This window comes from Homo sapiens, chromosome 18 (assembly GCF_000001405.40).
Source record: "Homo sapiens chromosome 18, GRCh38.p14 Primary Assembly".
In the NCBI taxonomy this organism is placed as follows: Eukaryota; Metazoa; Chordata; class Mammalia; order Primates; family Hominidae; genus Homo; species Homo sapiens.
In genome coordinates, this window is record NC_000018.10 from 40797174 (window position 1) to 40822700 (window position 25527).

A 25527-nucleotide genomic window follows, 5' to 3' on the forward strand; every position below is an offset into this window, starting at 1 on the left:
AGAAGTAAGTTTTCATTGTTGAGAATTAAATTAACAGCACATGAAACTGGCTTTTCCTAAGTTCATATTTTTGAACAAAAAAGATGAAAAGGGGAAGCAACCCCTAACTAAAGTGGAGCTATAAAGTGCCCACCAAAGAATACAGTTATTGCGTTTTCTCTATTTATTAAAAAGAAAAACAATAAAACTTATCTAATCCCATGTGCACATAAGATTTCTTTCTTGAAGTCTGGTTACTCTCTACTTCTGTGATTCTATGAGATTCTGTCTGTGAATGCAGCTTGATTTGTGGTTTCCACTGGTTACCAGCCTTGCCCCTTCCTTAGTTAAAGCAAGGTGCTCATTCTGTGCTATGGCTTTTTATACAAGTAATTTGTTTATACCTTGTTTGAGAAGGGGGACATCTCTTTGGCTCTGCAAAAGTCTGTGAGAATATCAATGGGTGGTTATTGCCATCTAATAATTACCACCAAAAAATCAATCAGAAACTAAGACAATTTAACCAATGAGGAGCACCATGCATTAAAAATATTAATAAAAGATTACATTTTGGAAAGTTTATATTTTTGATTTTTAATTACAGAAATAAAATCAGCAACCTTTCCCAGATAGATTTTGAAAAGAAATGTTTTTATAATGTCAATTTTTACATACAAAACAGTCTTCAATTAATATTGAAGTTAATATGGAGGTTTATTAAAAAATAAAGCAAGAGGTCTCGGCAGTGATTTTTTTGTTTTGGATATGACAGCAAATCACAGGCAACAAAAGAAAAAATTAACAAGTGGGACTACATCAAATGAAAAAGCTTCTGCACAGAAAAGGAAACAATCAATGAAATGAAAATTCAACCTACAGAATAGAAGAAAATATCTGCAAACCTTATATGTGATAAGATAAAAGGTTTTAATATATCCAAAATATATTTAAAAATATAACTCAATAATACAAAAACTAATAATTTGATTATAAAATGGGCAAAGGACTTGAATAGACATTCTTCCAAAGAGTACATAAAAAATGGTTAATAGGTGTATGAAAAGTCCCTCAGCATCAGTAATCTTCAGGAAGGTGCAAATCAAAACCACTATGAAATATTCCTTCACGTCTGTTAAGATGACTATTATCAATAAGACAAGAGACAACAAATGTTTGCTGGGGTATGGAGAAAAGAGAACCCTTGCACGCTGTTGGTGGTAATATAAATTGTTATAGCCTTTATGAAAACACTATCTAGGTTCCTTAAACGTTAAAAATGGAACTGACATATGATTCGACAATCTTGCTTCTGGTTATATATCCAAAGGAAAGAAAGTCCTGACCTCTTTTCCTTTGGATATATATCTCTTGTATATCGAAAAGATATATTGTAGATACATCTTTGCTCCCATGTTCTTTGCCACATTATTTACAATAGTCAAGGTATGGAAACAATCTAAGTGTTTGTTATGGATAAATAGATAAACAGTGACACACACACACACACACACACACACACACACACACGGGAATATTATTCAGCCATAAAAAAGAAAAGAATCTTGCCATTTGCATCAACATGGATAAACATGTACAACATTATGCTAAATGAAATAAGCCAAACATAGAAAAACAAATGGTCTCATTTACATGTGGAATCTAAAAAACTCAAACTCACAGAAGCAGAGAATAAAGTAGGGGTTGCCAGGGCCCAGGAGTGGGTGAAATTGGGGAGATGTTGATCAAAGGGTGAAAACTTCCAGTTATAACATGAATGAATTCCAGGGATCTAATCCACAGCTTAGTGACTATAGTTAATGACGGCCTACTGCTTACTTGAAATTTGCTAAGAGAGATCTCAAGTTTCCTCATCATAGACACACACACACATACACACCCACACACACAGCTAATCATGTGTGGTGATAGATGTGCTAAATAATTTGATTATAGTAATCATTTCAAAATGTACAAATATATCAGATCATCACATTGTACATTGTGAATACATAAAATGTTTGTCAATTATACTTAAATAAAACTAGGAAAAATTAAATAAAAAATAAAAAATAAAGCAAAATGTGTGGTCAGCAAGAAAGATCAATTAAAGACCTTTAAAAATTTTCTTATCCATAAAAACAAGAAAACTGGCAAGATTATTCAAATCAACTTTTTCAGAACTCTGGAAATTAACCAGAGGCTTGCAACAATTGAAGAAGCAGTGATTCAAGGAAAACAGTTGATTCGTTTAAGAAGAGTGAGATTCACCACACTGTCTTCCACAATGGTTGAACTAATGTACACTCCCACCAACAGTGTAAAAGCGACCACCAAGGCACGTGTATAGCTATATAACAAAACTGCATCATCTGCACATGTAACCCAGAACTTAAAGTATAATAATAAAAAAAAGAAGAGTGAGATTAATAGCATCTTAATGTTCCCTATTTCTTTCCACACCACCCACCCCCATTCAGCTCATGGTAGTCTTGAAAATCAGCCTGCAATTACAGTAAAATCAACAGCCTGACAGCCACTAGAGATGACAAAATGAGTGCAAAGTTATTTCTGGGTGTATTTGTGTGGTTGTTTCCAAATGAGATTAGCATTTAAATCTTGCATAGACTTAGTAGATTGCCCCTCCAGATGTGGTTGTGAGTGGGCATCATCCAATCCTCAGGCCTTTAAACTCGGACTGAACGGCACCACTGGCTTTCCTGAGTTTTCAGCTTGCAGAGGGAAATTCACAGAATTTTTCAGTTTCCATAATCATACGAGCTAATTTTTCATAGTAAATCTCTTCTTACATATTGGCTCTGTTCTCTGGAGAACACTAACACAGTTCTGATTTGTTTTTTTCAGCCTTTCTGATCATCTACATTTTCTACAATAAATAATATACTCATTTTTATCAGGAGAAATCACATATTACTATTCAATTAAAATTGTAAATGAAATTTACAGGAACAAGTAAAATAAGAACATTAAGTATAGGTTCAAGAAATTTTTACATTTTGTTTGCAAAGTTTTGACAGGATTTTAAGTGATATAGATGTAAACTTCTAAAGTGATGTTAAGGAATTTTTAAACATGTTTCCAACTCCTTAATCATACTCTTAAGTCTGATGCTTACATACTTATTTGTAACATTTTATGACTAGACATGCACATATGAAAGAAGCATTATTAGGGATAAATAATGTTTGTTGGATTAGTTTAACAAAATGAATACAAGATGTAGAATTCATACGGATGGATATAGATTTGGAAATAAAAAATGTTATACATTGGTTTTTAATTGTGTTATATTTCCTCAAGTAGTATCTATGCTGCTTTTATCATTACTATTATAATATTACTATTGGTAATGTCTGTACAAATGTTTGCACCTTTAATACACATTTCAATGGTGATTATTCTCAATATTGTTTCATTCAAGATGACTTCAGAGATTATTAAGGTGCATTGTCTTTCTTAGAAAAATAGTGAACAGTTGAAGGTTGGTAGTCATTATTTATTTAAAAAAAAGAAGAAGAAATTGTCAGAACTATTAGCTTATGATGCAGTGATTGCCTCTGAGTAACAGAGACAGAGTGAAATGCTACATAGGGTCCTTGCTATCTAACTTGAATGTTTAGATTGGCAGTCAACTAAAGTACTTTCCTAAATATCTTTTTCCAGAAGTAGAAACTCTTCCAGATGAGGCACTGAAGGTAACATGACGTTTATTTTTTCCTAATCCAAAATTACTCTGGCATATTAATAAGCAATTTTGTGTTATTATTTTTACCATTATTTGAATGCTATTTGAATGTATAAATCTTATATATGAGACTTATAGAACAATTTTTAAAGCTAGCAATGGAATCCAATAAGTTCAGATGCTGTAAACCATTCATATTCAGAATGTGATTGAAGACATATAGCAAGTTCAGAAGTGGGAGGAGCAAATGTTTTAATTACTGCTGAGGAAACATCCGATTTACCCAGGGTGAATCACAAGTGAGTGAATGAGTGGTGAGATGGACCTATAACTGTATGGACCATTTTATCTTCATATATGTGTGTCTGTCTACCAATTTGAAAAACCAAAGTTCTCTTTTAAAATGAAAATTACCTTCTTTGATAGAGAGTTATGAATTCCCTGAGGGATTACTTTTGCCTTGATTGCTGAAGTTGAAAGGAGCATCCTTAAAAGCAGAGAGAGAGAGAGAGGAACAGGCACACTGAAGTTCTTTAGTGGCAATTTCCAATCTATTTGCAGTTGTTTTTACCCATAAACTGTCTGGCAGAATGTTGATTTTTATTGTCATTGATATTTATTTCATTTTGTCCCCTGATTCTTGTAAACTGCATATGAAATAAAAAGCAAGCAAACAAATAGCTTTTGGTGGATGGCCTATTCTTCGGTCAAAATGATTCACGCTGGAAAATTCCAGATGAGTTCATGGTTCTAATCAGTAATTAACTAACACACACGTATAGCTCCAACTTCCTTATTTTCTGAGTTGTGTCTTATTCTCACTACGCCTGACTCAGGTAGGGGTAATTTTCAAAGGTATGGCCTTTTCTTCTTGATTGGATTTCAGACATGGAATAGATTTCTAAGATGGAGAAGATGAATTCTAAGGGAGCCAGAACATCTTTGAGGGTCACCTGTGTTGTAACTAGAGAAAAGAGAAAGCATACCTCATATACTGGTATACATATTTTCAATTGTTTATATATTTAACTTGAGGGCCTTACATTTTTAATGTGGCAATTGAAGAAATACACAGAAAGTCTATAGTTAGACTATTAAATTATCCAGAATGAAGGTGCTATTAAAAATCATGAATCAGATCATTAAATTCCATCTTGATTACTTTTCATGAGGTCTTCTTGAGACACCATATGAATCTTATATAAGCAATTAAAATATAGCTAATATAAGCATGAAATAGCTGAGGAAATATTAAAATATATTATTAACATATTATATATTATATTAACATTTGATATTAAAATAGTAAAATATGGCATACTCTACATGGTAGACTTTATAAACACAGTACTTTGTATGGTTAGGCTGCACTAAGTTTATTTTAAATATTTATGTTTCCTCAATAGGCAATTAAGCTTGGCTTATTACATTTTTTTACTTTAAAAACTTTTAAAACTTTTTGACTCTGTTATAATAACACTTAGCTTAAAATACAAATACCTTGTAAAGTTGTACAAAAATATTTTCTTTCTTTAAATAGTTATTCAAAAACTTCTGTTTCTTTTTCAAATTTTTTGGACTACTTATTTAAAAACTAGCACACAAACAAACATTTGGCCTCAGCCTATGCAGGGTCAGGATCATCAGTATCACTGTCTTCCACCTCCATATCTTGTCCCACTTGGAAGGTCTTCAGGGGCAATTAGCATGCATGGAGCTGTCATCTCCTGTGACAGCAATTCTTTCTTCTGGAATACCTCCTAAAGGACCTGTCTAAAGCTGTTTTACAGTTAACTTTTTAAATCTACACACACACACACACACACACACACACACACACACACACACAGAAGGAGTATACTTTAAAATAATGACTAAAAGTATAGTATAGTAAAGACATAAACCAATGACATAGTCGCTTACAATCTTTATCAGGTATTCTGTATTTTACATGATTGTATGTGCTAGGCTTTTATACAACTGGCAACGTGGTAGATGTGTTAACATCAGCATCACCACAAAAATGTGAGTAACACATTGTGTTACCATATTATGACAGCTACCCTGTCACTAGGTGATAGGAATTCTTCTGCTCCATTATAATCTTACGGGACCAGCTTTGTATATGCAGTCTGACATTGACTGAAAAGTTGTTACGAGGCACATGACTGTCTACATAAAATGATATTCAGTCTTAGAACATGCAACAACATGGGTGAAACCTGAGGACATTGTGCTAAGTGAAATAAGCCAGTGACAAAAGGGCAAATACTGTATGATTCCATGTATAGGTCATAACTTGAAGTAGTCCAATTCATACACACAGTAAGTAGAGTGCCAGTTTCACGTGGCTAAGAGGAGGAGGCAATAAGGAGTTGTCTAATTATTGTGAAGTTTGAGTTTGGGAAGTTTAAAACGTTTTGGAGATAGAGCGTGGTGATGGTTATGTAACAATATGAATGTACTTAAGGCCACTGAATGGTATACTTGAAGATGTTTAAATGGTAAATTTAATGGTAAGTATATTTTACTAACATTAAAAAATCAAACAAAAAGTAAAAGAAAGGGGGTTGCATTGAAGTATAAACACTTCGAAGAGCTGTATTGCAAGAAACTTGGTGAAAAAAAAAAAGAGAGAGAGATCAAAAGACAGAGTGTACTTTTGCCGCAAGGAGTGCAAACTCTTTACTACAACATAGTGGATATTAGCCCATGGAGGAAGCCTGGGTGATCATGGTTCAGACATGCCAGAGCTCCCTCATTTTGCAAAAACAGGAGTAGGGGAAGAGGTGGTCAGATCTGCAGTTGTCAACCAACCCCTAGAAGACAAATCATAAAATTGGGAAGAGCAGGGGAATTATCGCTGTTTATTTTCATTCAGATATTGAACAAGAACAGGTAAAAGAAACTATTTTAAAGCCTTCTGTGTTTCAAGGGGTTTCATGGTTACATTGTGTAATTCCAGTATTTCTAATGTGCATTGAAGCCTATCTGGTATTTTCAAGAATGAAACAGATGATATTTCAGAAATAAAAATTTAACAACAAATTTCTACCCTAATACACAAGCTAAAAATCCACCATTAGAATTTGATGTGTCTGTGAGTATGTGTGTGCACATGTGTGTAGAATTATCTTCTAAAAGGACAATCTATAATTTCTGATTATTTATAGACAATGACAACTGATAAACATTAAATTTCTGAAAGAGTAAAAAATAATTACTTAAATGTTTTCAAGAAGTCTAGGATATTACATTTAAGAGTTACTTAAATGTTTTCAGAAAGTCTAGGAAATATTAACATTTCTTTTCTTATGCTTTTAGATTGACAGTCCTCAAAACTAAACAGGTTATATGTAAGAAGACACAGTTCTGAAAATCAGACAGGTTCACTTTCGTAATCCACAGTCCCAGGCAGAGATGAAATGAGAAGTGTGGATTGTGAGGAGTAGGCCAACCAGAGAGAACTCAAAGAGGGACAGAACAGAGGAGAATTTCTGAGCAGGTCTGAGATTTACCATTTATTCTCTAACCTTGCACGATGTACTTATTTCTTTTATGCTTTAGTTTCCTCATATCTAAAATGAAGGTTTTAAAGGTATTTAACTCATAGAGTTCAGAGGAGAATTAACTAGGATAATACTAAAATCAGTAATGCATAGTAAATTCCTACTGTGTGCAAATATAATTATAATATTAGTAATATTATTGATAATAATTGTTAATTATATTTTCATATTATCTTTGTTTCAGGAACAATGCTAAATGTTTCATAAATATCACTTTAGTTGATATTCTCAATAATCCTGTGAGGTCTATATTATTTTTACTCCTTTCTTTCCACATTGTAAATGGAACGTAAGACACAGAGAAGATGAATAACTGAAGGCCACTATGTGGCAGACTGAGGATTCCAAAAAAGTGTGCTGGCTTCAGAGCTCATGCTCCTAACACACAGTAAATGTTCAATGAATGAGAATCAGTGGTACTTTGTACATTATCATATCAGCAAGACATTAATTTAAAGGGGAAATAGCACACAAAACATTTCCATGGGCTAAATATCATCAATGGATTTATTTCTTTTACTTCTTTAATTCTTTTTTTTTTAAATGCTCATTTTATTTTTATTAGTCTTCTCATAAGAAGAATAGTCAGCTTTCTTTTACTACTACTAAAATTAGACCTGTTTTCACACATAAAAACAGGAGGTGATGGCTTGATATAATATTTTCTCTTAAATACCTACCATACATATTATCCATATAAATTTGGATATTAAGATTGGAAAGAATTGAGGAACTGGAAAAAGAAACAATGTAGAGGAAAAGTTATAAGCACAAAAGAATGAGTATTCAGGGGGAATAAGAAAATTTTACTTGCTCCGGACTCATCTACATTGTTGAAATAGGTAGGCTTATTTCAATTACCCAATCTAAAAACCAAACAGATTCCTAGCCTGAAGACACAATAGGTGGCAAATTATTTCTAGGATGGAGAAAGAAGGGCTGTAGCACAGTTTTCAGGCTGGAAAACATCCTTAATATTTCATATGGTTGGAACTTTGCTTCTCCAGCCCAAAATTCTGTCCCTGCTGTGGGACTGAGGCACAGTTCAAGGAAGGCCTTCAGACTTTACCTGACATCCCAGCAACAGGTGGGATAGTCTCAGAAACAAAAATCTTAATGCTGGAAGAGATCATCATGATTCATTGTATTTCAAACCACTTACAGTGTGAGACGTAGATCATTTAAAGAACCCATCCCAATTTACAGAGTCCATGAGCTTGATCAATAGTTGTCCCCTGTGCTCATCCTTCTCTCTATATATCCAAGTTTATTGGATGTTCTCTTGTTTCCACTTTTACCACTTAACTAGGCAGCAGACTTTTATCATGGAAAGGAGCCTCCTGCTTAATTTTCTATTTTAGAAGACTTATTAAACTATAATAAACTGAGCTGGCTGCATTTTTGTTTCCCAAAGACAATTACATTTTTAAGTATGAAAACTACATCTGCATTATGGCTGTCCCCCTGTTCCTTTTCCTGAAATCAAAGTGTTGGTAACTAGAAAGCTGGATGTTGTACTGTCAACGGGCAGCCTTTGGTTGTCAGATGCCTTTATTTTATCCTAATTTAAAGATGCCTCAAATAGGGGCACCTCACAAACTACAGCAATGTCCTCTGGTACCTTCTGTTATGTAATTGTATCCTCACCAATAATAATTTGGGGTCTTCTCTTTATTTTTATTAATTGATTGATTGATTGGTTTTTCTCTCTATGCAGGAGTTTCATGCAAAGGTGATTGAATCACATTCCATCTGTTTTATCCAGCAAATGTTTCTATCAACTTGCAAATGATTATGTTAAAAAAGTGGAATCTGTTCATCTATGAAAGCACAAGATCGTTTTAAGACTCTCAGTCGTACAGAGGATAACAAAGGGAAAATAAAGATACTCTGCAAACTCTTAGCAAAACCTATCTATAAGTAAAACTGAAATGACTACAAAGAGTTATTATGAAACAGAAAAACCACATCATCTTCCTCTGGAAAACATTGCTCTCATTGTCAATTTGCTTTACATTTTAATGTGTAAATTTGTTCTTGGGATTTCACCTGAAAGACTCAACCATTTGGCATTCTGTGTAAGACGTAAATGTTATTAGAAACATGCAACAACATTTATTAAAATATATACGGAAACAAAGGCTAAGATTACTTTTCCACGTTTTTATTTCAGGGGTACCACTAGGGCATTTAAACATGGGTTAAACCAGATTCAAAAAGCTTTCACTAGACAGTTAACACAAATGACTAAGAGCTTAATCAACACATAATCTTTAAATACATTCAATAGAGGAATTGAACTGTTCATTGCATTATAATTTATAGGGTTTTTGTTTTTGATTACATAAGGGAAATGCATTTTTTATGCCTTAAAAGCATTCTTTTGTGATGTCAAAAAGACATTACACTATTGTTTAGAAAACGGTGTTTCAATTTGTTGGGGAAGTCTAAAATCACCGGAGTGGAAAAGATAACAAGTAGATTCTTCAAAGTCTTGCATTTGTGGCTTTTCTTTTTTTCTTCTCAACTTCTTTTCTTTGGTTAGATAATGAACACAGCTTTTCTCAATGGCATCTTCTAAGTGTTTAAATTTTATATTTAGTATATTTGTGGAAAGGCAGTGTAAACAGGATTAAAATCAGTAATTACTATTCCAAACAAGCATAAGGAAAGAAAATGGTAGTGAAAATAAAGTTTATGAATTTTTATTTTTTAATTTTTTTTTACATTTGGTAGTAGTATAAAAGTAATTCAATCTCCACTTAAACAATACCTGAGGTGACTATGTGGTTCAGCTGTTCCATCAAAGATAATTACAGAAAATTAAAGTGCTAAAGAGGCAAAGCTGCTCTTCTTATTTTGAAGTTTTTCAACATACTAAAGGAGGATGATTTTCAGAAGAGAAGACCCTTTGTTAGCATCTGTTTTATCCTCTTCCTCAAACGACAGCCCAGTTCTCTCCTAAGCAAGTCCCTGTGGCCGGTCTCCTCTGTTTATCCCGATCCTTATTGCCCCACACACATTCATCATACTAACACAGACAATAAAAAATTGCTGCTTATTCTGAAAATACTGTGAACTCTTATCAGTCAAAAGGAAAAGGACACATTCCTTTCACTGGGAGTTTGTTGTAGTGATTGTTTCTGTAGGTCAGCCGAGGAGGGAAAAGCTGGTTTTGAGATAGTATCCCTCATTGTTCAGAGGAGAACTCAAATGGAGATAGAGATATCAGTCTGAGAAAGAAGAGACACCCAAGCCATACAGATCCCCTCCCTCTCTCTCTTCTCCAAAGAAAAGGATTTGCATACACAAGTTTCCTTCTGAGCTTTATCCAAGGCAGCTTTTGACAGATGCTATCTGAAAAAGTGTCTGGAGAGGGAAAACTAGTACATTAATCAGTATTTCAGATGCAGGTTGGGGCAAAGCAGAACTTTCCATTTCTGATGGGAAGATGCCCCTGGGGGTGTCTGTCCCTTTCCACGTCCCTAGGACTTCTCTAGAAAGTAATTTGCTCTGTGAGCTCTGGTAAACTATGTCTTTTTTCTATGGTTCCACTTACTCATTCAAAATTAGTTTAATTATAAATATTCTCCATCTAGTAGGGCTCTTTTGAGAAACAAAAATATAAGATATGTGAAATTGTTTTGAAATATTATGAATACACAAATATAAGCAATTATTGTCCTTAGGAATTAACAGAACTAAAGACCAAAGTACTATCCTAAGCAGCCCTACACTTGCAATTGTTTTTTAAACAAGATACTTATAAATAGCATTTTTTCATATATAAAATACTTTTGATAATCTCTCTCAATTCACATTTGGTCAACCTGATGTGTGTAAAAAGAGAGGTATATGTTCTCTAATTTTTTATTTAAACTATGCAAAAGAAATCTATCTCTTCTTGCCTTTTTCTAACATCACATCCTGTGTCCATCTACTTTTAGTACAGTAATTATCTTGTCAGAAATACAATATACTAGTCTTTAGACCAGACTAGTGTATTATATACACTAGTATGAAAAACGGGTTTTTTTAATGTTTTAACTGAAACAAATGTTTTTCTTTTAATTTTTCAAATATCTAATGTAAAACTTCAAGAAGTACGGTAATCTCATTACCAAAAATAGATTTTATATATTAAAACATGGCATTTTTCTTTAAAGATTCAACCACTGAAAAGGCAATATTGCTTAGATGGGGATAACAACTACAAGAGTTTTAAATCAGTTCATATTTTTTATCCCATCTCTTAAACAAACAATTTCCAGACATATCTACCTAAAATCAACAATTTATTTGCCTGATTCTTTGCTCTCCAGAGGCTGGTCTTTTACCTCTGTTGCACTCCAGCATGAATCATTTGGGATGTACATGGATCCATTTGATGGATCCATATATGAAGCATACTCACTTCTCTCTCAGTCTCTCTGCTTATCATTTCCCCTAACGCAGAGAAAGCAGAACATGACATTTGTCCTTTCTAGCATGGCTATCATGGTACCTCATCATTTTAATGAAACAAAATAACAAACATTCACTGGCGCTTTCTCTGTGCAAAAAACTATGCTGGTCGGGCACAGTGGCTCACGCCTGTTATTCCAGCATTTTGGGAGGCAGAGGCAGATGGATCACCTGAGGTCAGGAGTTTGAGACCATCCTAGTCAACATGGTGAAACCCTGTCCCTACTAAAAATACAAAAATTAGCTGGGCATGGTGATGTGCGCCTGTAATTCCAGCTACTAGGGAGTCTGAGGCAGGAGAATCACTTGAGCCCAGGAGGTGGAGTTGCAGTGAGCTGAGATGGCACCATTGCACTCCAGCCTGGGCAATAAGAGTGAGACTCCGTCTCAAAAAAAAAAAAAAAAAAAAAACTATGCCACTATGCCAAATAGTTTACATATAATGGAAACTTTAATTTTACAAAAAAATCTGTATCAAAATATAAAATGCTTATTTATTATAAACCTTTTTACTTTCCTTATTCTATTAATAAATGAGCACTAGACATTAAGATGCATTTGTAAATAATCTGAGATATGAACTGAGAAATCATATTCACTAGGTAAATCAAAAACCACTCTTGCCTATAAGAAAAGCCATTTGTTGGGTGGAGAAGTAACTATCTGTTATTGGGCAAGATTCATCAATTTTTTCAAAGAACCGGTTAACGTAGGGAACTGTCAATCAATGCATTTGTCAATCTTATGAACCTAGCCATAATTTAAGGTACTAGAAATTACACTGATTCCTTGTTATTTGCCTACTTTGCATCGATTAATTTGTGCTTAAAAAAAGGTAGAGAGACATTGCAGTGGAAATCTATCTAAAACCTCCAGATAAATCATATAATTAGGGCATTAAATGTCATGTTACTTAACAAAACAGTATTTTTGTATAGGTTACAGAGTACATACATATCTTTATATGCCTGAATACACATACCATATGAATACATGTGTGTTTTTACATATGTATTTATATATACATATATAAATACATGTGTGTGTTTTTATATATGTACACATACAAACACACACATATGTGTGTGTGTATGTGTATATATATAAAATAGGATATATAAATATATAAATATATATATTTATATATAATATCTAATTATAATGATATATAATTATAATATATCCTATTATAGTATAATAGGATTTATATACATTTATATTTATATAAATGTATATAAATTTATATATGTAAATACATATATATATAAAATAGGATATATATATATATATATATATATATATATATCCTATTACTTGTTTGGATGCCTTAGGGCACATTTTGCTAAATGATTAGATTCTATGTACATTAATATTTAAAACATATAAATATAAGGAGTTATCCTCAAAATATAACATAGAATTTGAAATAGCAACAAATAAGTTAAATAAGTGAATACCTAGAATCTATTCATTCATATCAAAATATGAATTTCTATAAATTTGTATTCTTCCTGTGAGCAAAAATAGGGGAAGTTTTTATGGGACATAACTGTAATTTTAAAAATGTCTAGCTGCCATCATGTTTGGAAAATGAGGATGACCTTTATTCAGGGTGGTGAATGTTCCTCAAAGCATGCAGCCTAGATGACTCAGTCTTGCTGTTGAAATCTGATGGAAAGAGTCCCCAGAGGCAAGGTCATTATCTGATAAAAGGTACTTCCTACCTGGGCTGCCCTCTTTATGAGCAGAAGTGGAGGGGAAAGTGAAACATAGTTCTTATGAGAAGATCAGCTCTCAGATAAACTTTTCTTTGTAAGAAGTGACTTTTCCAAGCTATTTCAAACCACTGGGATGTGGTGCATTTTGAAGATGGATAGTCAGCTGTGCCCCCACAGCTGTGAGAGCCTGGCACACTAGCTCTCCAGCCAGCTAGCAGGAAGACAGATACTGTCATCTGGGGGGAATGGATCACCCACAGATGTTTAGAAGAGGAGGATTGTCTATGTCCTTTGGCAAGCTCATGAACACCAACCTCTTGCATACAGGCAGAGAAAAAACTGAAATCAATGCCCAGCCTATCGTCATATTACCCAGCTTACTTTTACCACCACATCTTCATTCATTCTTAGGTGGAAGATAAATTGTTTGAGATGAAATTATTTGGACCTGGGGCAGATGCTGCAACATGTCTCCCTGTAAAGGTAACCCAATATACCTGGATTTTCTAATATCAAAGTTGCTTAAGAGCAAATTTCTTCTACAGAAAATGAAGACTCAATTTTTTCTTCTAGAAGTATTCCAAATCTAGAGGTAATGTTGACTTTTGAGTAAGTTTTTGTTTCCTCTGCATCCTACAAAACCTATTTGACACCACCATATGCTTGACCTCTGTCATGCTGCTTGCCAAAGACAACTGTGTCACCTAGAAGAAATGAACTTGTGAATGAAGAGATTCAGTCCTATAGAGATATTGTTGGAAATTCTTGATTCAGTGAAAAAAACCCAGAGAGCATATTTCCATAGTCCACTTTAGTCCATGTAATGATCATGGATAATAACAACACTATAGTAAAATGTCCAATTGCTAGGTTTTTTTTGTTTATTTGTTTTTCCTACTGACTCCAGATTTCACTATTTCTTTACATGCCTCAGCTGACCAATGCCTTAGTGGCCATGGACCATTTTCCATTTTGACTAACAGAAATATGACTTCTAGAAACATGCCTCCCCAATCTCCTCCATGTCAGTGTTCTCTGTTCCTGCAGATTACTTGCTACTGTATTTCAGCATAACTCAAACACAACCACTGTATCTCCAACACTAAATATTCTTATAAGTTTATTTTCTATAGCAACTGAGGTATTTTGGGGGGCCCAACAGAAATTTCCAGAAGACAAAATCTGATTGGCTAAGCCTATGTAATGGACTTGCTTTTCCTACATCAGGTGTCCTTCACTCTAATCAGAGTGGTAAAGTAAGGGTACAGTCATATTTACAATACAGCTATAGGAGCCTATTTTATGAGTTGAAATGGGTAATTTACAAAGAAAAAAAATGGGAGGATTGGGTAAGAAACCTAAAGATGTCATTGTCAGCTACTTCCTTCTCCACCTAGATCAGTAAGCAGAAGATAAGCAGAAAATAATATTGCAAATGCTTATTTCTCTAGATTAATGACAAAAGTGTCAGTATTATTCATGTATCCAGTATATTCATACTTCATTTCATTAATTTCAAAATCTAGGCACTTCTTCCCATAGGGTTTAATTATTCAGAGTTTTCACACTTGTCAAAGTTCAGATAAATGGTATTATATCCTTGTATCCCCACACTTTGTACAATGCCTGACATATAATGAATGTTTAATGAATGTTTGAATAAAGGAATTAATAAAGTTTTTGAATGAATTTTGCACACATTCTTGAATGTGTTTATACAGGCGTTGAGCCGTAATATTCTAGAAAACTGGAAGAAATTCTCTCACAAAGAGTTCATTGGAAACTTTTTATTGCAGTTATTTCATCAAGCAATAACCATGTATTTTTTACTTTGTCTCTTCTTAATCACAATTTACTTTTATTTTATTTCATAAGAAGGTATGTGTTATTCTTTTATTTTTACTGTTTGAATTTGGGATGTTAAAAGAGGCATCATCCACACATCTGGATAAATAGAATTATGGATTTTTACCTTAAATTTTCATTTGCATGTTCAAAAGGTGGAGATGTAAGTTTATTTGAGTTCAGTTACTTTTACTACTATAATAGTATCTAAGGTTCAAGCTTGACTTGTTGCCTTCTAATGACAACTGGTGATTTGGGCTTCAGTGGGGGTATTTAATTGAAATTTCAAATGTGTTTGAATGTGCTTTTTCTGTAAATGACTATGACTTGGCTCTGTGTTGTCTGCTACGTATTATACTATCCAATGTTAAGAACACATCGTTTCCTTTGATATATCAGAATATACTCTAATGCTTTAAGGTGTTCAACTTTGCCAAAATACTGCAACAAAATTAATGAAATGAAAATGTTCCATGAATGGAGCTATTTTTCCAAAACTGAGACATGTATTGAGTAAAAAACTATCATCCAAGGATAAAATCATGGCCAAAGGAGTTTGTTTTATCAGCATTGGCTCTTCTTAAATAATTTTAAAGAATAACAATGAGAAGAATTTTTCTGATTTGAGGAATAAGCAGTGCATTAAACTAGCCTGAGAGTAAATGCCACTCCCATGATGTCACTTCATGTACAATTCATGTACTTTCTTATTACCTAGAAGATAAATTCCAAACTATTCAGATTGATGTGACTTTCCTCAATCTGCTCCTATTCTATCATTTCAACTTTGTAAAGAATATTTTACTTACAGAAGACAGTCTTTTCACTTCCCACATATGAATCTCATTCTAAATTTAGGATCTTAATCATCACTCCTCATCTTTCTTTTCCTCTCTTGCTCATGATTTAGAACCGAACTAAATTGCTTCATTTCAAGGTTTGCCCTTTCTATCTCTGTCTCTCTTTATGTCCCTGTCTCTGTCTGTTTCTCTTTATACTTTTTTCTTCTTCTTCTTTTTTTATTTTACTCTAAGTTCTGGAATACATGTGCAGAATGTGTAGGTTTTTTACATAGGTATACATGTGCCATGGTTGTTTGCTGCACCCATCAACCCATCATCTACATTAGGTACTCCTCCTAATGCTATCCGTCCCCTAGCCCCCCACTTGCTGACAGGCCACAGTGTGTGATGTTCCCCTCCCTGTGTCCAGGTGTTCTCATTGTTCAACTCCCACTTATGAGTGAGAATATGCACTGTTTGGTTCTCTCTTTCTTTGTTAGTTTGCTGAGAATGATGGTTTTCAGCTTCATCCATGTCCCTGCAAAGGACATGAACTTTTTTATAGCTGCATGGTATTCCATGGTGTATATGTGCCACATTTTCTTTATCCAGTCTGTTATTGATGGGCATTTGGGTTGGCTCCAAGTCTTTGCTATGGTGAACAGTATCACAATAAACATACATGTGCGTGTGTCTTTATAGTAGAATGATTTATAATCCTTTGTGTATATACCCAGTAATGGGATTGCTGGGTCAGATGGTATTTCTGGTTCTAGATCCTTGAGGAATTGCCACACTGTCTTTCACAATGGTTGAACTTATTTACACTCCCAACAGTGTAAAAGTGTTCCTATTTCTCCACATCCTCTCCAGCATCTGTTGTTTCCTGACTTTTTAATGTTCGCCATTCTAACTGGCATGAGATGGTATCTCACTGTGGTTTTGATTTACATTTCTCTAATGACCAGTGATGATGAGCTTTTTTTCATATGTTTGTTGGCTGCATAAATGTCTTCTTTAGAGAAGTGTCTGCTCATATCCTTCACCTACTTTTTGATGGGATTGTTTGTGTTTTTGTTGTTGTTGTTGTTGTTGTTTGTAAATTTGTTTAAGTTTCTTGGAGATTCTGGGTATTAGCCCTTTGTGAAACAGATGGATTGCAAAAATTTTCTCCCATTCTGTAGGTCGCCTATTCACTCTGATGATAGTTTCTTTTGCTGTGTAGAAGCTCTTTAGTTTAATTACATCCCATTTGTTAATTTCGGCTTTTGTTGCCATTGCTTTTGGTGTTTTAGTCATGAAGTCTTTGCCCATGCCTATGTCCTGAGTGGTATTGCCTAGGTTTTCTTCTAGGGTTTTTATGGTTTTAGGTCTTATGTTTAAGTCTTTAATCCACCTTGAGTTAATTTTTAAATAAGGTATAAGGAAGGGGTTCAGTTTCAGTTTTCTGCATATGGCTAGTTTTCTCAACACCATTTATTAAATAGAGAATCCTTTCCCCATTGCTTCTGAAAGACCTCTTCAAGGAGAACTACTAAGAACTGCTCAAGGAAATAAGAGAGGACATATATAAGTGGAAAAACATTCCGTGCTCATGGATATGAAGATTCAATATCTTTATATGTTTTGAAAAAGTAACTGGGTACCATTATTTCACAAAAACAGTAAAGGAATGACTTGTCCATGTACCAGTGGAATTTTTGTTATGACTGTTATCAAAGTCTTTTTTAGATAAAAACATGAACTTGAACAATGGTGTACTAGAAGAATTAACTTTTTGAAACTGACATAATAATAAAAAGCAAGTTTCCCCTTCCCACATCTCCCACCAGCATCAAAAGCTATTTATTATTTATTGTCTACATAGATAAAGGCTTTGAATGATATGTGATCTAAACCAAAATAAGTTTTAAAACAAGTGACCATTTCCCTTAAACTCATAACTTGTGTTTATAAAATCTTTGGCAAATGTAAACTGCTCATTTATTAATACAGAGAAAAATTATTTAAGGCCTACCAATAAAGTTCTTTTAAAATAGTTTTTTCCATGCTTGAAGTGTTTCCTACAAAGACTTTAGCTCAATTGTTTCATTTCTGTGCCTTGTTGCGTTCCCTATTGTTCATTTTCTGGGAATTACCTCCTTTTTCCATTCACATAGACTAAATTCACCTGTCTTTCAAAGTCATCTTTGCTTCACAGATCCTCTATGAACATTTTCATGAGTATTGAAATTGCTTCCTGATTTTGGTAGTAATTGTAGACTATACAAAGGCTTATTTGGAATTATCATTACAGAATTTTAAAAATGGAGATGTTAAGATTTTCTAGTCTCGTTTGTAATTCTACAATGAAAAAAATTGAGAGCCCTCCCAATCCCCTATTTTTCTATGCCTGCTTTGCATAGGCCAATTATTTTAATGTGATACCTCAGCTTTACTTTTAAAAATGATTCCCTATTTACTACATTGTTTTCTAAAATAGTTTTGTATGAATGTTTTTGCTGATCTCTCGTGTATAGAACATATATAAATCGTTCATATCTATGTGCATATATCGATATATATTATATATGCACTTATGTATATTAACCATTACAAGGATTTTCCCATCAAGTTAGGGTTAGGGTTCCCATGGGGTTATATAGCAGTGAAAAGCCCATGTCTCAAGGAACTCCTTAGTCCCAGGCAAACTGAAATACATAGTCACCCTATATCAGGTTATTTTGTCTTCTTTGTAAACATAATTTTAATGTTGTTAGGGTATTGTACAATGTTTTACATAAGATTCCTAATGCTAAACACTAAGATTGTTTTTAACTCTCCAACATTCCCTGGTTTCTACATTTCCCTGAATTTTACACCTCTAAATTGGATAACATGGAAGACTTAGGGCAAAAATCCATCTCCTAGATCAGAGCTAAATACAGTAGCCATAAAACACATGTAGCCATTGAGCGCTCAAATTATCATTAATCTAAATTGATACGTGTTATAAAAATACAGCTCAGTTTTAAAGACTTGGTATTATATAAAGGTTATAAAATGTCTTAATATTTCTATACTGATACATGTTAAAATGATAATAGTTTGGATATACTAGGTTAAATAAATTGTGTTATTAAAATTAATTAACTTTACCAGGCAAAGTTATAGGCATGAAGTACTGGTTAGTGGTTGCCAGAGGTTAGGAATGTGAAACAGGAGAGGTAGTGGGAAGTGGTTGTGGTTATAATAGTGTAGCAGGAAGGATGCTTCTGGTGAAGGAACTTTTGTGTATTGACTGCAGTGGTGGACTCATGAACCAGTATGTGATGAAACTGCATAAAACTAATTCACACATACACACACATACACTCACACATAAATGAGTAAAAGTAAAACAGGGGAAATAAGAATAAAATTGATGGATTTTATCAATATTAATATCCTGGTGGTGATATTGTACTCTATTTTTGTAAGATATTATCTGTGGGGGAAGCTGGTTATAGGGTACAGGGATCTTAATATATTATTTCTTAAAACTGCATATGAATTTGCTATTATCTCTAAGTCAAATATTTAACTAAAATTTGTACCTGTTTCTTTTTTCATTTTTGATGTTACTACTAGAAAACTTAAAATTTCATATGGGCCATGTGTTATATTTCTATGAGATAGTGCTACTTTAGAAAAACTAGATTATTTTTACATCCAGTAATAGCCCATGTATTTTGTAGAAATAAGGCACTCATTTATATTCTTTACCACTCAACCCACTTTATGAAGAGACATATAATAATCTCCTCCTTATCAATGGATTGCTATACAATGTGAAGGGGAATTTCATAAATATTATATTCAGAGGGTATATGACACTGTTTGTTTCTGGTGTTATGTCAATAAATCAAGAAATATTTTTTTTTTGCTTGCTTTTCTCCTAAAGCTTCTAGAAAAGAGATACCCTGAAATCATCCCGGTAGCTTTACACCTAAACTCCTACATAGTCCACCTGATACCCTTTCAATTTCAGAGGCTCACTCCTGCTGAAAAGTCTCATCCTGGCCCCAGCCAGGAGTCCAGGAGATTTTGCGGGTTTTCTGAGTCAATGTGCAATTCCGGAGACACTGCATTAAACTTTCAATGGGAAAAACAACAGAGTAATACTCTCAGAAGGCTCAAGCCCTGCTTGTAAGATGACTAGGGCTCCATGCTGATTTATCCAACTTGATGATATTCCTACCTAAGAGCTTCCTCTTCATTTTATTCTGAGGGTCCCATCACCATGAGAGGCTGGTTTCTTTGGTGTACAGTCCAATAGGCTTCCTCATTAAATACCCATATGTCTTACTATTATCTCACAATATAATTATTTTTTACTTTTTCTTCTAGTAGGGATTTAGATTCTCTGAATGTTTCTTACCATATATCCATTGAAACTGAACAAGCCTACTTCTGTAGGTAAACTAGTTTATCTCTCCTGTCAAAAGAAGTTCTGGGACCTCCTTCATATATTTTGATTTAAGTTGAGTAGCCCAGCTCTGTGACTATTTCTCAAGCATTACTCAGGTTTTTACATAGTCCTAAATGTTTAACAATTACCTCTTCTCAGACTTCGCATATTCCCAGAAACATAGCTACCAATCAGCGAATTTACATTATTTTAACAATGACACGGTAACATTCTAAATGCAAACATCCTGATACATTATGTTATTTGATTAAGAGACAACATAAATTATTTATTGATGCATTTTCAAGAATATTTTAACCTCTTCTGTTTGTAACCATGGTATGGCAAATCCAAATAATACAAAATAACATAAAACACATCAAAACAAACAGCAACAACAGCAGAAAAAAAAAAACCTTGGCAAGGGAAAGAAAAGGTAGGTTATATTTGCATCGTTTAACGAGAGTCAAGGCTTATTGAGATCCAATTAGTATCAACTCTATAATAAGATGGAAATGATGTAAAGTTTGTATTACTTCTGCCAATGTGTATACAAAATTTCAAGGTATACACAAATTGTCAAGGCTGTCTTAACTTGGCAGCCTTCTGTTTTTTAAATTCTACAGGTACCCAATAACTGATTAATTCTAGATATTCAACCATCTGGTTGGTAATGACACCCTTGATTAAACAGAGAGATTGTTTTTCCCCACGAGCCATTAGAGGAACACACCTGACCATCCTTGAGTAAAACAATACCCAATGGCATGTGTTGTGCTTGAAGGTAAGATGCCATGGAGGACCACAAAGATAGAGTACATTAACCGGCAGAAGGTGAGTCCCATGAAACCCTATGTAAGAGAAGGGCAAAGATGATATAGGGTGGGGTGAAGGAAATTCACACTTGTTGAGTGTCAGCCAGTGAGCTAGAGATTTTAAATGTTTTATTTCTCATTTAATTATCTCAATAGCATCCTAAGATAGACAATACTATATCCATTCACAGATAAGGAACTGAGCCTTATGTAAAACACAGAACCCAAGTAACATTTATGTAATTGAAATTTAATTTCTGCCGGACTCTAAAACTTGTGCTTTCTCTACTGTACCACAAGGTCCCCTGGGAAGATTGTTATGAAATTCAGTCTTCAGGAAAGACAGAAGATCCCTCTGCACCCTGGCTGTGAAGGAAGTGGTAACAAGGTAATATACAGGTGACTGGAAGAAGTAATTGCATGACACATGGGACTGTCTAGTTTAGCAGACAAGAAGTCCCATCAGCAGAAAGAAGCAGAGGCAATGACCTATATCAAATGTGGTAGTGTGTTCTGTCAACTACCGCCTTTCCCATCCTGCTAGTTTTACCCATGGATGCTTTTTCCATCTCAACTAGATGGGAAATGGGCAAAAAGATATCAACAGGCTCAGTTCTCTAGACAGTGAACCTATCACCATTCCATTGTGCTAGAGGGTAAAACCTTAGCATCTGTGAGTACGTAAGGTCACAAACTTTATATACTCCTCTGTCATGTGGCCCAGTTATTTTGATTCAGCTATCATCCTCATTTATTGCTCTATTCAAAGGGTAGAGTTTTGACATTGTACTCATTTTTTATCCTCTAGTTGTATTTTATCATCCCCTGCTCTCTAACCTAAGCCATTGTTTCCACTCATAATAAAACGTGTAGCATCCCACTGATTTGAGTTTGAGCATAATTTACTGGTTGGACCTCACTCTGCATTGGACATTCTCAGACATTAATTCTTAATCTAATCAAGCAGAATTTACAAAGTTTGCACAGTAGTTGACTACTTTAAAGATGCTGCTTTACAGTTAGTCTAATTTTTCTATCCATCCTCCTGCCTGATTAAACCTCTATCTTTTCCCTTCCCTGTTCATGTGGCTGAGGTCTTAATGCTCTATGTAGTCAAGCCTGAACAGATAAAGCAATGTCAAAATGGTTTGGCTTGAAGTATTGTGTTCAAGGGAGACATGAAAGAAGACTGCCAGCAGTTAGCTATAACCTCCCTTCAGTGTGCCCTGACAAGACACAGAAAATAGATTGCCATTGGCAAAGCCACAGGCAGTGTTGTTAAATTTTTGCCCTTAAGGTTTTAGGTGAATTGATCTTAAACACTTTCAAGTGGGAGCTCCTCAGTAGTCTAATAGTTTATTTTTTTTCTTCAAATATTTAGGTGAAGACCTCAGCCAAAAGACATTCCATCATCTTTCTCAATGTAACGAGTCCTTATAGTACAGGTCTCAATGACAGCATTTTGGGGGCAAACACTGTCTCTTGGTGGCATGTAGCATTCCTTATGAGTCTCATGGATGCTCCCTGATTTAATTTTTATCCGTTCCGTTTCCACTTCCTTCTCCTATTTTGTTTCTCATGCTATTCTCTTCCAGTTACTCACCACTGCTTCTCCTGATTTCCTGTCTGTAATCTGTCTTCTTTACACTCCTTGGCAATTTTGTCTTAATCCTCTTGCTTAATCCAAGTAAAAGTGATGAGGTTGTAATTATCCCAGTTTATCCACCCTATCACATCATCACACAGTTCCTCCTTTTGGGGTGGATGGGCTGAGGCAAAGTATGGCAAAGAATGACTGGAAGCAAAAGCTCCTCCATGACCTACATTCTTTCCACCCCAGTCTGTGCTTTTCACTGTTGTCTTTGACTATGCTTTTCCCCACTTTGAAATAAAGATAGTTATATACACTTCTCAGTGCTGAATTTCTTTTTTTTTTTTTTTTTTTTTTTTGCTTACATTCAAGATAGTCTTTCTATCCTGAGCAAACAGATAGTCTTTTTTCCTTGGCTCTGTAAAATGAATTATTTGATCTGAGAGTCCATAATGAATTTTTCTTGGTCTTAATAAGATCATTAAACCAGGGGTTGAGATCATAACATACCATCCTAATGATATCCATTTAATCAAAACGTCCATTTGTTTTCACTATGGCAAGTTTAGAAAGCAATTCCAAAGTGCTTTCCATGGTATTAATTAGTCTTTCAGGTTTCTCCTCCTCCTCTTCCTTCTCTTCCTTCTCCTCTTCCTCTTCCACTTCTCCTTCTCCTCCTCTTCCTCCTCTTCCTCCTCCTCCTCCTCCTCCTCCTGCTCCTCCTTCTCCTTCTCCTTCTCTTTCTCCTTCTTTTTAATCTGGAGGTCAAGAATGTTCTGCAATGGACAACAAAAGAGTGATCTTATTAGGTCACTCACTTTATCTCCATTTCTGTCTCTCAAAATTATTCTTATTCTTTAATGTTCATCCTAAATTTAACTATTTGTTAAAGCTCGGACAAGGGTTGCCTGTAATTTTTCTACACTCCATTCATTTACTCATCAGGAATATGGTTAATAAAGAAAACCCCTCTAGCCAATGAAGCCTTAATGTCTCTTTCAGAAATAGACCTAGCTGGCATATATAGGTAGTTCTTTCAGCAGACAGAAGGAAGTCTGCCAGTTTGACTGAAAAATGAGCTCACATTACAGATAGGAGGTGAGTCCTGGTTATCTTTGTACAGTAAGACCTGGTATATGCTAGAAACATGGGTTACTCGAAGTTTTGTCACAAACCAGCAGCAAGAGCATTACCTGAAAACTTGTTATACATGTAAAATTGTCAGTCCCCACACCAGATCTACTGAATCAGAAACTCTGTAGATGGTTCTAGGTGATTCTGAAGATAGCCTATAGTTTGAGAATAAATGCTTTAAAAGAGTGGACCTATTGGGGTGGGGTCAAGATGGCTGACTAGAAACAGCAGTGATCAAGGAACCATCATTAGGGTGTGAATTCTTCACCAGCAACCAGGCTATCAAGGTTCTTTCATTGGAACTGACTAGGTGGCTTGTGTGATCCACGGAGAGGAAAAAAGAGCAGAGTGGTGCAGCGGCCACCTGAGAGCAACATGGGGAAGGGGGGTGGAGAGTGAGTGTGCTACCCAGCCAGGGAAATCATGCTTTTTCATGGAACTGTGCAACCCACAGATCGGAAGATCCCACTGGCAATCCCACACCACTGGGGCCTAGGGTTCCAACCTCGGAGCTGCGCACATTCTCATCAGCCTCTCAGCTAGAATCTGCTTAAGCCTGCAGAGCTCCCAAGGGAAGGGCGATCAGCAACATAGCTGAGACTGCCTGCTGTCTAAGCCATTTGAGATCCTTGGGGGAGGGGCAGCAGCCAGCACTGGGACTCACAACTGCCTAAGATGCTAAGCTCCCTGGGCAGGAGAAGGGTGGCATCCATCTTTATAGCTCCAGGCCACACTTTTCCCCTGCTGGAGCTGGGGAGGCAGGATGGCTTGGTTCCAAAAGGTGTCCCTCACAACTCAACACACCGGCTGTGGCAGACTGTGGCCAGAATGCCTCTTCAGGCCTGACCCAGACTCATCCTTCCTCACTGGGAGGGGCTTCCCCGCAGGAACTGCAACAACTCCAGCCAGAGGCTCAGGGACAGAACCCAGATTTCCCTGGGCCTGAGCCCCTAGTGGGAGAAGAGGCCACAGTATCTGTGGACCAGCAGCCCTAGACTTTCCTCCTGGTAATTCTGAGGAATCTAGGCAACTCAGACAAGTGGGTTTCCCCAAAGTGAACCACACCTCCTCCACCAAAGAACAGAATGCTTCATTAAATGGGTTCTATTCCCTGTGTTACTCAACTGGGTGAGACCCTCTGACAGCAGTTGTCAGATACCCTATACAGGAGCGATCCTACTGGCATCAGGTTTGTGCCACTCGAGGTCAGAGATCCCAGAAGAAGCAGAAGGCGCAGATATTTGCTTTTCTCCATCCTCCTTGAGTGACATCTCCAGGCGTGGAAGCTGACCAGATGAATAGGGCCTGAAGTTAACCCCTAGCAAACCTTGATAGCCCTACAGAAAAGGGACCTGACCATTGAAAGAAAAACAAACAAACAGAAAGCAACAACAACAGCATTGACAACAACAACAAAAAGTCCCCACAACAGCCCCTTCCAAGGATCAGCAGCCTCAAAGATTGAAACTAGACAAACTCACAAAGATGAGAAAGAATC